This window comes from Homo sapiens, chromosome 9 (genome assembly GCF_000001405.40).
Source record: "Homo sapiens chromosome 9, GRCh38.p14 Primary Assembly".
Taxonomy (NCBI): domain Eukaryota; kingdom Metazoa; phylum Chordata; class Mammalia; order Primates; family Hominidae; genus Homo; species Homo sapiens.
In genome coordinates this window covers 17,302,337-17,320,324 of record NC_000009.12, presented here as the reverse complement: position 1 = coordinate 17,320,324, position 17,988 = coordinate 17,302,337, and the positions used below count along the sequence as shown (strand labels likewise).

Genomic DNA, 17,988 nt, shown 5'->3' with positions numbered 1-17,988 from the left:
AGACATTACATTTATTCTTCTAGAGGTTGCAAATATTTTGTAATAAAAATTATAAAAAGAGAGTAAGAACATAAGGGAAAACAGCTAAAGAAAATTCTCTTCAATTGAGGAAAGCAAGGAAGAGAGAGTAACTATGAAAAGAAATAAAAATCAACAAGACTGGTTAAAATTTGCAACTCATCTTGTGGTCTTGCCATTAGCCACATGGCATGTATCTCATTCACAGATAAATATAGTAAACCCTGGCTTTCTCTCTTGTCCTCTACTGCAAGATATTCCTCCAAGGCAAAAAACATTATTTCTGCATGAAAAAGATAAACAATCGCTTTGAGATAAGAATAGGCAGTCATTCAGAATTCAGCTAGTGAAGAGCAGGGTGCTTAGAAATCAAGGGTCACAGGTTTCAATCCCCTATGAACCAATTAGCTTTGCCCTTTTCTATGGCAAAGACTGTCAGCTCACCAATAATTTGGATTACAAGTTGAGATAGGAGAAAGGAAAGATAAATCCCCACCAATATAAGAAAAAAAAAATCTCAATTTACTAACAAGTCTCTTCCCTGTATAATAAATTAAGAGCTAACATTTATTACTCTAAATGCCCACCATTCATTGTCTTGTGTAATCTTAATGAAACTCTAATGAGGTAAGTACTATTATAATACCCATTTTATAAATGTTGAAACTGAGTTGACAGAGAAGTAACTTGCCCAAGGTCACACAATTAAGTGATCAAGTCTATGTTCCAAATCCATGCATTCAGACTCTAGAATCTATGTTTTTATCCATTACTCTGTAAATAACACCCCCAAAATCCTGCACAAAAAAGTCCCACTAGAAGTATTTACAAATTTACAGATAGAAAAAAATGAAATAAAACCTTTCTACCATTTCCCCTCGACTGTATATTTCACTTTCCACTTAGTCTCCTATTAATCATTAAAGTATGATCGCTAGACCAGCTCCATCAGCCTGACCTGGAACATGACAGAAATGCAGAATCTCAGGCCCCAGCCCAGACGTACTGAATTAGGATAATAACTACTCCCACCCTAGGATGCTTGGATGTAGATTACAAGAAGTACTTAGCCAGACTATCCTCACTCTCTAGGATACACCACAAACTTTCTCACCTCTGGGCCTATGCCAGTGCGCTTCTGACAAGAAACCAGAAAGCCCTTAACAAAATGACATACGTTGTTTTCTCTGTGAAAGCTTTGGTAATCCCTTCCTCTCCATAAACATGCTCCTTGAAAAGCTTCTTTCCACAGGTTCCTATTTGTTTCATACTTCAATTACAACACATTTTGTAACTATTTTCTATCTGCATTCCTATCTATAAGATTCATAGAAACATAAATGGTGTTGTTCAGTTTCGTATCCCCTGTAAAAATACAATGGGATTTTAATAAATATTGCCTACATAACTGAATAAATGAAGGTTTAATGGATGGATGGATGGATGGATGGATGGATGGATGGATGGAATAAAGGATGGATGAAGAGGTGAGTCTAGTTGGACTGAATACTAAAAAGAGAGTATTGACATGATAAAGTATATGTTACTAATGGGCAGAAATGTTAAGTCACACATTTCTCTTCATTACTACTTCCCTAATTCTGGGCTTCCACATCTCTCCTCTATCTAACTTCAGAGTCCTCCTACTGCTAGGAGAGCTGTGAGAATAATCTTTCTTGCCTCAAAAAATAGCAAATTCATTTGTCCAGGTGGTTAGATCTGAAAAGCATGAATTCATTTTTAATTCCTCCTTTCTTCTCATATTTCACATATAAGTCAATATCAAAGTTTATGCATTCTAACTTTGAATTATTTACAGGCTCTAACTCCTTTTTATAACATAGTCTAAGTACCCACTGAGTTCTGCCTGCACTATTACAATTGCCTGTTAAATTTGTCTCCCTCCTCTCTTCCTTGCCTTCCTATATTCTGTTTTCTGCAATGCATCCAGAGTGATCTTTTAAAAATATTCAGTTAGGGCCCGGCGCGGTGGCTCACGCCTGTAATCCCAGCACTTTGGGAGGCCGAGGCAGGCGGATCACGAGGTCAGGAAACCGAGACCATCTTGGCTAACACGGTGAAACCCCATCTCTACTAAAAATACAAAAAAAATTAGCCGGGCGTGGTGGTGGGCGCCTGTAGTCCCAGCTACTCAGCAGGCTGAGGCAGGAGAATAGCGTGAACCTGGGAGGCGGAGCTTGCAGTGAGCTGAGATTATGCCACTGGACTCCAGCCTGGGCGACAGAGTGAGACTCCTTCTCAAAAAAAAAAAAAAAAAGAAAAGAAAAAAAAAATTCAGTTAGATCTCACCACTCTTCTGAATAAGTCACCCCAATAGGTTCCATGTTGCTCTTCTACAAAAAACACACCAACGGCTTTCCATTTCACTCAGAGTAAAATCTATATCCTTATAGTAACTTAACAAGGCCCAAGGAGACCTGTCCCACATTTACCTCTCTGAGATCATGTTTCACTCCTCTCCCCATAGCTCTCAATCTAGCCACACTCGCCTCCTTACTAGGCAAGCTCCTGCTTCATGAGCTTTGCATTTGTTCTCTCTGTTTAGAATGCTCTTCATCAGATATCTAAATGATTCACTTCTTCTATATTTCTTTTCTAATGTCACCTAATCAGAATGATTTCTTCTGCCACCATACACAAAAAAGCCCTATCACTCTCCATCATGCTCCATCTCATGCTGTATTATTTTTCTCCATAGCACTTATTACCGTGTGTCATGTGCTTATCAGATGGTAACCCTCTGACCTGAATGTATGCTCCATGAGCACAAAGGCCTTGTTTTGTTCCCTAACAGCTCTTCATCACCAAGAATAGCACCTAACACATAGTAGAATATCAATAAATATTTGTGGAATATATATTTAGATATATTAATTGATGGAGAGTTGTAGTTAACAGTATGATTCCTGCATTTTACTATAAATTTTACAGAAAAATATACTTTCAAATTTTCTATTTATCTATTTACCTGTCTGTATCTTCCATATAACATGAGAGCCATTATTTAAACTGTCCATAAAATGTACGTATTTTGAGGTCACCTCACTAGCTACACAAAGATTCTTATTCAGAGAAACATGCTAAACAGTATCCATCTATTATTCATTCACACGATTTTCAAACTCCACATATGTATGACATATACAAAGGAACAATAATAAAATTACATCAGATTTCTCACCAAAAATTATGCAAACCCAATGATAACGACATGATATCTTCTCAACATTAAGAAAAAAAAAAAACACTTTTTTCTTCTGTCTGGTTTAAGACAATTGCATTTAAAAAATTATAAATCTGTACTGATGGGCATACAATATATAAAGATGTAATTTGTGACAATAAAAGCATAAAGGGCAGGGGGAGAAACAAACGTACACAGGAACAATGTTATGTATTGACATTAAGTTCACATGAATTTCTATGAGATTGCTGTAAATTGTTAGTTATAATCCCCCCCAGGGTAAGCACTAAGGAAATAACTGAAAAATATATAGTAAAAGAAAAACAAAGGGATTAAAATATCACACTAGAAAATATTACAAAAAAAGGCAGTAATAGAGGAAAAGAGGAACAAAACAGACATAACACATATTAAAAATAGCAAAATTGCAGATTTATATCTTACCTTACCAATACAGACAGCCCTTGACTTAAAATGGTTTACCTTATGATTTTTCAACTTTACAATGGTGTGAAAGCAATATGCATTCAGTACACTCCTTGACTTATGATATGGCTAAAACCAGATAAACCAATTATAAGCTGAAAATATTATGTCAAAAATGCACTTTCAACTTGCAATATTTTCAACTTACAATAGGTTTATCAGGACATAGCCCCATCCTAAGTTAAAGAGCATACATTAAGCCCTCAAATTATAGGTGGAATTTAAGACAGAATAAATTTTAAAATCATAATTCAACTATATGGTGTCTACAAGAGAAACGTTTTAGATTAAAAGGCACATATATTGAATGTAAAAGTATGGAAAACGATACAACATGCAAACAGTTACCAAAAGGAAGCTGTGGTGGCTATATTAATATCAGACAAAATAGACTTTAAGACAAAAATTGCCACTAAAGGTAAAGGACATTTTATAATGATAAAAGAATCGATTCATCAAAAAGAGATAACAATTATAAAAATACATGCACTTAACAAAAGAACCCCAAAATACATGAAGCAAAACCTGATAGAATTAAAGAGAAAAAAAGACAATTAAACAATAATGATGGGGAAAAAAACTAGACAGAAGATCAGCATGGAAACAGAAGACTGGAAGAACATTACAAGCCAATCAGACCTGAAAAAACAGAATAGAACAGAAAGGAGAAATAGACAAACCTACAAGTATGGTTGGAAAAATTCAACATCTCTCTTAGTAATTGATAGAATAGGTAGAGAAAATCTATACAGATAAAGACCTAAACAACAATATCAAGAAACTTGACCTAAATGACATTTATAGAATATTCTACCCACAAAAGTAGGATACATATTCTATTCAAGAATTCAATATAGATGGGTAAAACATCAGAGTAACCACAACAGAAAAGAGAATGTGTGAACTCAAGGAAACATCAAGGTTCAAGCAAACAGAAAAAAATCTTTGAAGATACAAAAAAGAGCTCAAAATATATATGGAATACAGTGAAAAGGTCTAATATGTGTGTAATTGGAATCTCACAAGGACAGGAGAGAAAGAATGTGCAGAAGTCATATTTGAAGACATTTTTACCACAAATTTTCTAAGAATGAAGAAAACCAAAGCCACAGGCCATGGCTGACAAAAGCTTTAAAAACTGAAAAACCAGGAAAAGGAGAAACACTACCACATTGAAATCATATAAAAACTGCTAGAAACCAAAAATAAAGAGAAGCTATAAAAAGTAAACACAAAAAGGACACACTACTGTTAAAGTTGCAACAATAAGAGACATGCCTTCTCAATACAAAATACAAAAAACAACATATATCATCTTTAAAATAAAGACAGAAAAGATGGTGCAAATCAACAGTTCTATCCATCTAAAAAATACTGTTCAGAAATAAAGGCAAAAGAAAGACATTATCCAAAAAATACAAAATGAGAGAATTCACTGTGAGATGATGCCCAATAAAATAAATACTAAAAGGAGTGCTTAAGGCAAAAGGCAAAAGATCCTAGTGGGAAATACAGAATTGCACAAAAGAATAAAGGGATTAAAAAGTGTAAAAATTCTAAATGAAATTGATTTTTTACAACAATAATATTTTATGGGGTAAAATAGATGTATAATTAAAATGCAAGACAATAACAATAATTGGTGATAAGATCAACAAGTTATAGTCTATTAAGTTCACTGCATTGTATAGAAAATGATTTAAAAAATCAGTTAAAATAGTCTTTAAAAAGTCAAAGATTGGGAAGTTCCATTTACAATAATGACAGAGTAGATCCTATCAGAATAAATCTACCACACACGACCATTTAAACTCCAAGCAAATTATAAACAACTACCTGAAGGTAACAGAGAATGATCAAATGTAGGCAGAATCTAGATAAGAACTGATAGTTGGAAAATGGAACAGCATTGGCTAAGTTACCCATTCTGATGAATTTTTACCTTAGCAAGGCCCACAACAGAAATAACGTTAGGAGACTAAAATTCCAACAGAAACTTTGGAAGTTCAGTCATACCTCTGCAGCTACAAATTGAGGGGAAAAGTTCCAGAAAAGAGAGAGTCAAAACTATGAACTCATAAATGAACTGTTCATGCACTAAGCAGACCTCTAAGCAATCTGAATAAGGTTAAGATAACCGAAAAGCAATTCACTGCCACCCACCTGTTGGGACGCAGGGCTTGGAATTTAAATCTGACCTAATTAAAATTCTGATTCATATATTTATTTCAACACTTCCATGAGTAATACAACAGAAACCAGAGTCTCTATAACATATATTTTACAATATACACCATATAATTCCAAGTTAGAAGAAACAATGTATGACCCATATTCAAAAGAAAAGGGAAAACAATAGTGATCAAACCAAAGAAGACCCAATAGAGAAGGAAAATACGGATTTTAAAGGAGCTATTTTAACTACTATAACAAGGACTTATATTTGCAGAATAATTCACATAAAAGACTTAAGAGCAAGTTGGGCATAACAGAAATTTCAGTTAAACTGAATATAAAGTAATAGAAACTATCTAATCTGAATAATATAGATATAAAACAATTTTTAAATAATTAACAGAGCTGGCCGGGCACAGTGGCTCACGCCTGTAATCCTAGCACTTCAGGAGGCCAAGGCAGGCAGATCACCTAAGGTCAGGAGTTTGAGACCAGCCGGGCATGTGCTGAATGCCACTTGGAAGGCTGAGGCAGGTGAATCACTTGAACCCAGGAGGCAGAGATTGCAGTGAGCAGAGATCATGCCACTGCACTCCAGCCTGGGCAACACAGAGAGACTCTGTATCAAAAAAAATAAAAATTTACAGAGCTTTACTAATCTGTGGACCAACACTGAAAAATCTAACATAAGGGAAATGGTAATCTCAAAAGGAGAAAAGAAAGAACAGGAAACAAAAATATTTGCGAAAATAACATCAAAATTTTTTTCCAATTTGGTTTAAAAATTATGAAAATCAAGAAGCTCAGCAAACCACAAGATGGATTACTATAATGAAAATCAAGCTTGGGAACATCATAGTTTAAATGCTAAGAGTCAAAAGTTAAAATCTTGGGGAAAAAAGGAAAGCCGGACAAAACTGACACATTACGTTTAAGTGAATAATGAAATGAGTTCCACTGAATTACCATCAGAAACTGTGGGTCTAGAGGATAGAAGAGTAAAACTTTTAGATTAAAAAAAAAGCCAGTTAATTAATCCAAAAGGAAGGAAGAAAAAGAGAGGCAGAGAAACGAAAAACAGGATGAACAGAAAACAAATGATAATATGGTACACCTAAACCCAATCATATTATAATTATGTTACAATTCAATGGATTAACACTGCAATGAAAAGGAAGAAATTGTCAGAATGGATTATAAACAACAGGATCCGAATATATACGCTTTAAATATACAGTAACCTATGTGCTGAAATTAAAAGAATGAGAAAGTTATACTATGCAAAATATAACCATTAAAGGGAAGAATTGGCTATACTGACATCATAAAGGTACATTTCAAGCCAACAAAATATTATAGTTAAAAATGACATTTTATAATGAGAAAGGGTTCCATTTATCAGAAAGACATAACAATCATAAATATGCATACAACTAATAAAACAGCTTTAAAACCCATGAAGCAAAAATTGAGAAAACTCAAAGGAGAAACAAAAATCTACAATTATGTGAGAGATTTTAACACTCCTTTCTAAAGCAATTGATAGAAAAACTAAACACAATCATTAAAGACATAAAAGATCTGAATACTATCAAGTGCAATGACATAACTAATATTGATATTTAAGGAGCACTCTGCCCAGTAGTTGCAAAATACAAATTATTCTCAGGTACATATAGTACTTTCACCAAAACAATATGCTTGGCTTTATGACAAGTCTCAATAAATATCAAAATACAGGCTGGCGTGGTGGCTCACGCCTGTAATCCCAGCACTTTGGGAGGCGGAGGTGGGTGGATAACGAGGCCAGGAGATCGAGATTGTCCTGGCTAACACGGTGAAACCTTGTCTCTACTAAAAATACAAAAAAAAAAAAAAAAAAAAAAATTAGCCGGGCTTGGTGGCGGGCACCTGTAGTCCCAGCTACTCAGGAGGCTGAGGCAGGAGAATGGCGTGAGCCCAGGAGGCGGAGCTTGCAGTGAGCCGAGATCGCGCCACTGCACTCCAGCCTGGGCGACAGAGTGAGACTCTGTATCAAAAAAATAAATAAATAAATTATATATATATATATATATAATATATATATATATATATATAAATACAGTAATCTTATCGAGTACTACCTGTGACCACAATGGAAGTAGATTAGAAGTCAGTAACAATAAAACAGGAAACACACATACACAAAAATATTTCAAAAGTAAACAAGACACTTAAACTCAGCAAATAGAAAATCCAAAGGAAAATCAGAAACATTTCTAAACGAATGCTTATTTGTAGAAATTGAGGAGCTCATAGTAAAATTACTACAAAAAAGCAAAGGAGCAAGAACATACAGAATATTCTTGAAAAAGAATAAAGTAACTTACATTACCCTCATTTCAAAAGTTACTATAAAGCTACATATATGAACAGGCATATAATCTGGACTTTGTTCTATTGACTATTTTGTCAATTATTATACTAACACCATACTGTCTTGATATTTTAGCTCAATAAATAAGTCTTAAATCAGGGAGTGTAAGTCCTCCAACTTCTTCTTTATGAAACTTGATTTTGCTCTTCTAGGTTCTTTGCATTTCCCTACAAATTTCAGAATTGATTTGTCAATTTCTTTTTTTTCTTTTTTCTTCTTGATATGGAGTCTCTCTGTTGCCAGGCTGGAGAGCAGTGGCGCAATCTTGGCTCACTGCAACCTCCGCCTCCCACGTTGGAGCAATTCTCCTGCCTCAGCCTCCCGAGTAGATGGGACTACAGGCACGCGCCACCATGCCCAGCTAATTTTTGTATTTCTAGTAGAGGAAGGGCTTTCACCAGGTTGGCCCGGATGGTCTCTAACTCTTGACCTCATGATTCGCCCGCCTCGGCCTCTCAAAGTGCTGGGATTACAGGCGTGAGCCACCGCACCCAGCCGTCAATTTCTTAAAATAACAGAAAAAGCCTCCTGGGAGTTTGATTGGGATCTTCTGCCTTAAAAAAAAAAAAAAAACAGAAAAACCCTCCTGGGATTTTGATTGGGAATCTTTCTGTCTTTGGGGGAACAGAAAGATTTCTTAAATGAAATACCAAACCAATAACTATAAATGATTAATCCGCCTAAATTAAAATTAAGAGGTGGCCAGGCACGGTGGCTCATGCCTGTAATCCCAGCACTTTGGAAGGCCACGGCGGGTGGATCACCTGAGGTCAGGAGTTCAGGACCAGCTTGACCAACATGGTGAAACCCCGTCTATACTAAAAATAAAAAGATTAGCCAGGTGTGGTGGCAGGCGCCTATAATCCCAGCTACTCGGGAGGCTGAGGCAGGAGAATTGCTTGAACCCAGGAGGTAGAGGTTCCAATGAGCTGAGATCGCACCATTGCACTCCAGCCTGGACAACAAAAGCAAAACTCTGTCTCAAAAAAAAAAGAAGTAATTTAATTTCTGTTCATCAAATGACACCTTGAAGAAAATCAAAAGAAAAGACAAGTACACAGTGAGATATCTGCCATATATTAACTTACTAGGGATTAATATTAAGAATATATAAAGAGCTTTTGAAAATCAGTAAGAAAAAATCCAATAGAAGATTGAACAAAAAAGACATAAACAGATAGTTCACAAAAGAAGACACATACTGGCTAGTCAGTGATATGCACATAAAAAACAAAATAAAATATTATTTTATACTCATTCAATTGGTAATGAATTAAGAAGTCTGACAACACCAAGTGTTGAGTAGGACAGGAAACAACCAGATCTCTTTTATATTGTTGGTGGTAGTAAAACTGATAAAACCACTTTGAAAAACAGGTGATCAGTATCACCTAAAAGTAACATTTTCACACTTTATAGTCCAGGATTTCTACTCCTAGATATATAACCCACAAAGATGCATGAACGTGTACGTCAAGAAACATGTGCGAAAATGTCAACAGTAATATTACCCATAACAGTAAAAATGGAAATAACCAAAGTTCTCATCTAGAGATACATGTAAAAATAGTTATGATATACTCACATATAATAGAATGTTTTTAAACAGTGAAAACAAACACCTATATCAAAAAACACGGATAAATCTTAGTAACATAATGATGAGTCAAAATTGCCTAACCCCATAAACAACACATTATATCATTTTTTTGAATGACTAAACAATAAACTGTTTCCTCATAAATTTGTATATGATAAAACTGTTTAAAAAAATCAAAATGATAAGAAGTTTGGTGGTTACCTCTTGTAAGAGAATCAAAGCACATACAAGTGGATGTAAGCCATTTGTAATGATCTAGTCTTTGGATAAGTTGGTTGAACCAAGGGTGTTTATTATAATAAAGAACTAAACAAAGCCATTAAATTAAATTGTCATATGCATACAATAGTATGTCATAACACAAATTTTATCATTGATCCAATATTGTATGCCTGAAGTCCAAAAAATGCATACAATATGGTACAATTTTAAAAATTGTTGTCATAAGGTTAATTAGCAAGACAAATGTGCTGCGTTCAAAAATTACAATCCATTACTGAATTAATACATTATAAAATTTAAAGAAAAGCTATGAGAGCCTTAAAAACACTTAAATAAATTCACAGAGATTTTTTTAAAGATGTTTAGAGTTGAAAGTTGCCCTGAAGATTATCTAAAAAGGTACCACTTAACATTTTCTATATGCTAAGCTCTGCAACCAGATCCTACATATTTATCTATACATTTATACTACCTTCATTTACCACAGGAAATAGTAAGAAAGGTTACATGACCTGTCCAAAATCATGTTATCAAGGTAGTGGTAGAATTAGGACTATTGGATACTGAGTACCGAATACCAGGCATTATGGCAAGTACTTTATGAAACTTAGTTAGATACTTTCTATTCCATTAGCTCATTCAGTTAAAAAGTCTCAAAATGGGCATGACCTATTAATTTGCTTTTCAATAATGTATATCAGCCAAATGTTTCATCACGATAACTATATTTGCTAGACCCTGTACTTCTACATGCACTTCTATATAAATTTGTATTGTATGTAATATTCATGCCTACAAACAGTATAAAAACAGTATAATGCAAAACAATCTGCACACTTCTTATACTCCAATAAATGCAAATATATTTAAATTTTTATGTTTTAGTCAATTGTAGGAGATGATTTCATTTAATATTACACTGAATAACAGTTTTAGAAAATGTCTCTCACCTGTGCTGAGTAGTCTGGATCACTTTCTTGAGGTAAAGGAAGAGGTGCTCCCTGTGATTCCTGAAGTTTTTCTTTTAACTTAGCATTTTCTTGCTCTTTTTGTAATAGCTGATCCTGAAGATTAGTAACACTTTGCCGGAGCATAGCTTCATTTGATTTTGTGGTTTCAAAACAAATATGTAACTCATTGTAAAGCTGTTTCAAAAAATATATCCAAATTATATTAATAATCAATAAAACTATGTGTCTGTGTGTCTGTGTGTGTGTGTGTGTATATATACATATGAACTGTATAAACACAGTTCTTGCCCTCAGGTTATTTTAATAGTCTCAGAGAGAAAGAAGATATAAACACAAAAAATAACTAATTTATATAATAATATGTTTAATATTTAATTTTTTAACATTTAAAATGTGATAAAAACTAGAAAATATGTTAAAAAGGCAATATGTATTATTAGCCAGTGTAATATAGGAAAAGAATGCCAAATTTCTGAGGAAGAAAATACTTTAAGCTAGCTGTATTAATCATGGAGGGAATTATGAAAAAGGACCTGAAATGAACCATGACAATATAATTGGAATTGACCAAAAACAAAAAGTCATTCTAAAGATAGAAGAAATGTGAAAAAAAATTATGTACAACGATAGGAAAGGACAGAAAGGAGCACAAGGTATATCAGTTTAATCGGACTTAACATATACATTTGAAAGAAAACAAAATCAGGAGTATTTCATTAACAGTTAATTAATGTTGAATTCTACATTCTTATTAAGTATAATTTAGTATCTACTGCTAGGAGGAACAGAGGAATAGTAAGAGACAAAGTCAAGCAGTAAGGCTGTAGAAAGAATGTAAAGGCTCTTCAATACTGGATTAAGAGGATGGATTTGTTCTGCAGACAACAGGGAGTTACTGAAAACCTTAAACTGTGAAAAAATAGAAGCAATATTTTGAAGACTTATTAATAACTTTAAAACCTTTTTAAGTCAAGGCAATATGCATTAAATAAATTTAAGTTTATTAAAACTATGAGATAACATGACATATAAGTGCTATCATACAGACAGTAATATAAGGTTAACAATGGTATGCCTCCAGAACTTGTGAACTTGATCCTAATGTATAATTGTGATTTAATGAGATATAATCCAATCTCTGGTAGTTGATTTACATACATAATCTGTATGTATATCTGTGGCTGACACTAGAAAAGTGACCTAAGAACGAAAATGTGTGTGTGTGTGTGTGTGTGTGTGTGTGTGTGTGTGTGTGTGTGGTTTTAAAGGCTAACAGTAAAATCTTACAATAAGAGCAAAACCCTCAAATGTAAAAATCTCAAAATTATATACAGCTACGGTAAGTTTTTAGGTTTGCTCATTTACTTAAAGATACGAACATCTTCCATCAGTTTGCCTTGCCTCATGGGAAGAAACTTACATACATAAAAGATTGTAAAGCTTTAGTTCATCTAGAAACCTAGGATTTGTGTACATTTCTGTATGCATGTTTACCTCCGTTTTTTAAATTTAAAATTTAAAAAGGCTTGTAAAACCTTTCATTAATACATCTCCTGAAACATAATTTTGTCACAAAAATAAGACCCTCCAAAGTTCCACTCCACTGGCATATAATTAGCTCAATATACCTTTTATCTTTTATTTTAAAAAAAAATGTATCTCTGGCTGGGAAGGTGGCTCACGCCTGTAATCCCAGCACTTTGGGAGGCCGAGATGGGCAGATCACCTGAGCTCAGGAGTTCGAGACCAGCCTGGGCAATATGACGAATCCCCGTCTCTACCAAAAATACAAAAAATTACCCAGGCGTGGTAGCATGCACCTGTAGTCCCAGCTACTTGGAAGGGTGAGGTGGGAGGAACACTTGAGCCCAGGAGGTCGAGGCTGCAGTGAGCCGAGATTGTGCCACTGCACTCCAGTCTGGGTGACATGGGGAGACACTGTCTTAAAAAAAAATAAAATTATCTATCGATATTATTGTGGAGATATTTAAAATAATCCACTTCACTTTATTGCCAAAGTCTAGGCAATCTTTTAAAAGAAAGTATTGCCTATATGATTTATAAAAAAATTTAGAACATCAATTTATACTTTCCCTTCTCATTACCTTTATACCAAGGAGCATGTCCAATGTCATTTCCACAGCTGATACCATCAAATATTCTAGGAGGCAAGAAAGAGTAGGAACCTGACAGCTTAAAGGGACAATGAAGAGTTCAGCGTGCCTACTTGTACTGTGCTGCTGCTCTCATAACTGGGTTTAGGGTAGAAAAGAAAAAAGCAAACCCTGGACACAAGAGCTAACCTGGCTAGGGAAAGTTGAAGCTATGATGAGTGACGGTCTTCTCTTCACTGCATAGTCATTTTTTCAATGAATATTTAACCACTTTCTAATCTCGGGTGCATTATTTACACTAACCAATATTTACCCAATCAGTACAAATTAATCCCTCTGAGGTAAATAATAGAACATATTATTAAAGAATTCACATATTTCAAATATTTGAGAATCTCATGGACACTGATAAGTGCTGACAAAGAAAACTACATACCTTCTATCCTAATGACCAAGGTACAGGCATGATGCTAGGGTATGGTCAGGATCGAGGACCAATTTACTGGCCACTAGTGCCAAGGATGTGGTATACCCTACTCTTGGGTGTCACATCTTGGGACCTTCTTCCACAAATATAAGGCTTTAGGCCGATTCATTCATGGAAGAAGGCTCTATCTTAATTTATCTCCTCTCATCTAACTTCTGCCTTGCTTCATAAAATAGAGCACTGGTCAGGCACGTTGGCTCACATCCGTAATCCCAGCACTTTGGGAGACCGAGGCTGGCGGATCACCTGACGACGGGAGTTCAAGACCAGCCTCACCAACATGGAGAAACCCTGTCTCTACTAAAAATACAAAATTAGCTGGGCATGGTGGCACACGCCTGTAATCCCAGCTACTCGGGAGGCTGAGGCAGGAGAATCACTTGAACCCAGGAGGCAGAGGTTGCAATGAGATGAGATCGTGCCATTGCACTCCAGCCAGGACAACAGGGCAAGACTCAAACTCAAAAAAAAAAAAAAAAAAAAATAGACGACTAATAGCACCCTTCTTGTGTTCTCTACTTTGCTCTCTCTGACATGCAGTTTAAGCAGTTGCATTCCTATTCAGAAGTTGCCCTGACTTGATGTGATATGACTAGGTGTGTAAGACTACACTGGGAAAAACTCTATGTCTTGCACTGAATATCCATCCTTCCAAGCAGCAGGTGAAAAAGAACTGAGAAAGCCCAGAACAAATTAGGTCAGCTTTGCTCTAGGTTTTGGGAAAAATTCTTATCTTATTCCTTAGCTTACTCCAAATATACATCTCCTACTTGCCTGTTTTCTTTGTTGGCTGACTGGATTTCATGTATTTAATAGTAATGAGATCACTCAGTTGTGAACTTAGAGTACAGGAAGCAAAGATAGTCCTCCAGCCATTTTTAACTCTAGGCCTCAGTCCAGCAGTAAACTTGGTTAAAACAGCCTTCAACAAGGTTAAATCTAGCTTTATTTCTAAAGTGTTTTTTGGTGACAAGACCTCAGGGTAATCAAATGTTTAATTCTCTAGGAGATCCTGCAAGAAGGCAAAAGCTTAGGATGTTCCAGTGCCCTGGGTAGATTCCATCTTATTCTCATTCCATTAATAAGAGTAGAGTTTAAAAAAAAAAAAACAGTGCTCAAGTGAGTAAATTAGGCAATATGATAAATTCATTCATCTGCATTGCTTTAGGCATACTGAGTTATCTTTTTCCCTATTAGCAATAAGATTCCTTACAACAGTTTTCAGAGAGGCTCTTTTCTCTATAACTTCTTTCCTCTAATAATCCAAAAAGCTCGAATGGATAAGAATTTTTTTGTAAGATTCTGGCCTATAAAAATGTAACCACGTATTACATTATATGCTTTAGAAGTATCAATCATTATAATTCATAAGCAATATACTATCCTTACTATTCTTCATGCTATTTTCTGTTGAAGAAATTAAGTGAAAAAGGTTAAAAGGATCTCCAGGGGACAGAAAGCAAGTTAGAAATAAGACCTCAACCTCCAACTCCTTTAATTTTCAGGGGCTTAGACTGAAGAACGCCTTTTCGAATATTTTATTAGTGTTAAAGAACTAAATGATATTTTATATATCTTAACAATTTTGAAAATGTATATGCTCTGTTATCCACTGATACTAATTTGTTTAAGAATTGAAATCATCCAAATCTAGTAAATATACTACAGCATTCCCTCATTATCCACAATATTGTTTCCAGGACCCAAGTGAATAAAAAAAATCTGCAAATGCACAAGTCCCTTGTATAAAATGGCACAGTATTTGCTTATAACCTATGTACATCCTCCTGTATACTTTAAACCATCTCCGGATTACTTATAAGAATGAGATGGAATCTACCCAGTGTTTACAATGTAAACACTATGTAAATAGTTGTTATACTTTTTCTTATTAATTTTTATTGTTGTATTGCTATTTTTCATTTTTTTCCCAAATATTTTCAATTCAAGGTTGGTTGAATCTGTGAATGGGGATATGCCCTATGGATACAGAGTGCCAACTGTATTTGCAACACTGACTGAAACAATAAATTCTTCAAGTGAAAACTGTACTATTTATAGCCAAAAATGACAACACTAATTTAACATGTAATTTAATATGCTAACTCCTTATTTTCCTAGTTAATAGTTTGAGTAATATTGTCACTAAATAGACCAAAAAGTTATAAAATACATGTTAGTACCCCAACCATGTTGGATGGTCTAGAAATCATAAATGCTGATATAATTCCTTATCAATATTTAATTCATACACATATATAAAGGTGCAGATATAAAAATATTAAAAATTGTATGAACGGCTACATGCTCAGAGGAAGAGAACACATTAGATTACTTTTATTTATCTTGATAGGTGTTTTTCTCCTAGAAAAGCCTTCCACACTATATGACTGGTAGACTTGTATATGAGACTGATGATTTGTTACGGAGAGCTCTGGGACAATATGACTCACCTCTGTGCTCAAAACTTTTTTCAGTTTTCTTTCTTCACCTTTGTCTCCCCTCCTCAATTCCCACATCCTACCACCTGGGACAACTGTTTTCATCTTTTCAGATAATTAAACAGATATTATGATACAGATCTACTTAATAAATGAGAGAAAGAATGGGTAATGTAAGGGCAAGAAAAAGGGGTGAAGAATTGAGAGAAAGAGAACAGAGGAAACAAACTTCATTAGAAACAGTAAACTAAGATCTGATTCTTAAAGAAGTTTAATAAGAATTGAAGACAAATTGTTAGTGTAATACTTTTAATTCAACTCACCTGAGTCTTAGAGCTAAATCCCAATTATTATTCGAAAATATTAAAATGAATCTATGTGAAAATGTTTGAAATTTTGAATAAATAATTTCATCTCATTATTGCAAGATTATTCAAATTAGAAAACAATCTAAAAATATGTGTAGACAAGGAATAAAGACAATACATATAATGCTCTAGAATAAGAATGAATAATCTGACATAAATGAACACTAAAGTATGAACAATAACACACCTGACAAATAAGGCAATGTGATCATTCACAAATTTTAAAATCCTGCACTACACAACTACTACATTTTTGAGGAGAAAAAAAAAGCGTTAGTAAAAAATCTTCAGAAGCTCAAAAAGTTAAAAAGTGTGATGTAATAGCAAGATAAAAGAAACCAAATGGATACAATCAGGAGAAACAATGGCCAGAGAAAAATGATGGAAGCCCTTTTCACAGAGAAAGGTAACTGCTATACTCTGGTCACCAAAAAGAGAGCAATGAAATCTTCTGAATAACATTTAACTTAGATATCAGGATAAATATTCCAACATTAGAAATTATTAAGTGTTGAAAAAATTTGGATGAGAATGGATAATGCAAGTTTGTAGAATCTGTTTACCGAGGCTTTTAGGGATAAGACCTCACCTTTCCATTTAAAACTGAACTATACTGTTGGCTTTATAATAAAGTTTAAGAATTGCATTCTGGACCCAAGATTACCTAGATCTGAATTCTACACAGGTAGCTGTTTGACTTTAGACAACACTCTAAGCTTCAGTTACCTGATCTACAAACAGGGATAAAAATAACAATACCACATCAGGTTGGTGCGAGGCTTAAACAATCAGGCAAAAGCCCTATCGCCAGTGCCTGATACACAATAAGCTAAAAAATGTTAACTATTATTATTATATGGTTACTAGGAGCAATTTACATTTTTATCTCGATTTACATAAAACATTTCTAAAATAATTTGTGTAAATGGAAACTCAGATTCTCCCTGGCTTATAGTACAATTTTACATTCTGTCTTTATAACTGTGATCTAACTGGAAGGACTTCTCACTTGTATTTTGTTTCTCCACATTTTTCACCACTGCAGAACCATTCATCCACCCAAAGTCAAACATTAAATGGACTAGAGTAATATTTAAATTAAAATAGAAACATCGCCATAAAGTTTTAAAATACAATTATGATTTTTAAATTGCATTATCCAAAGTGGGACATCATAGCATGCAATGTCTCAAGTTTCAGTAACTTAACGTTTACTGATCATGTAGTAGGCAGGTCCCCTTAGAATCCATGACCCCCGTACATTCTTATTATGGCATAATTTTAAAAGGGTATGTTATGTACGAACTAATTAAAAGTGAATTGGGCCAGGCACAGTGGCTCACACCTATAATCCCAGCACTTTGGGAGGCTGAAGCGGATGGATCACCTGAGGTAAGGAGTTCGAGACCAGCCTAGTCAACATGGTGAAACTCAGTCTCTATCGAAAAGTACAAAAATTAGCTGAGTGTGGTGGCACGTGCCTGT

The 17,988-nt window shown here is 34.5% G+C and overlaps 1 protein-coding gene across 15 annotated transcripts in view; it reads right to left on the bottom strand.

Moving 5' to 3' along the window:
* The window catches only part of CNTLN (centlein), a 393,595-nt gene that overhangs the window by 208,310 nt on the left and 167,297 nt on the right, over positions 1-17,988 (bottom strand). For 13 of the 15 annotated variants that reach the window (XR_007061321.1, XR_007061322.1, XR_929282.3 and 10 more), the window contains exon 8: positions 11,073-11,267. The exons of the other annotated variants lie outside the window; for them this stretch is intronic. Coding sequence is in view for 10 of the 13 variants with exons in the window: in XM_017014839.2 (XP_016870328.1) it covers positions 11,073-11,267 (195 nt within the window). In the remaining 3 variants the exon portion in view is untranslated. The remainder of the gene's footprint in view (positions 1-11,072; positions 11,268-17,988) is intronic. 15 annotated transcript variants of the gene reach the window in all.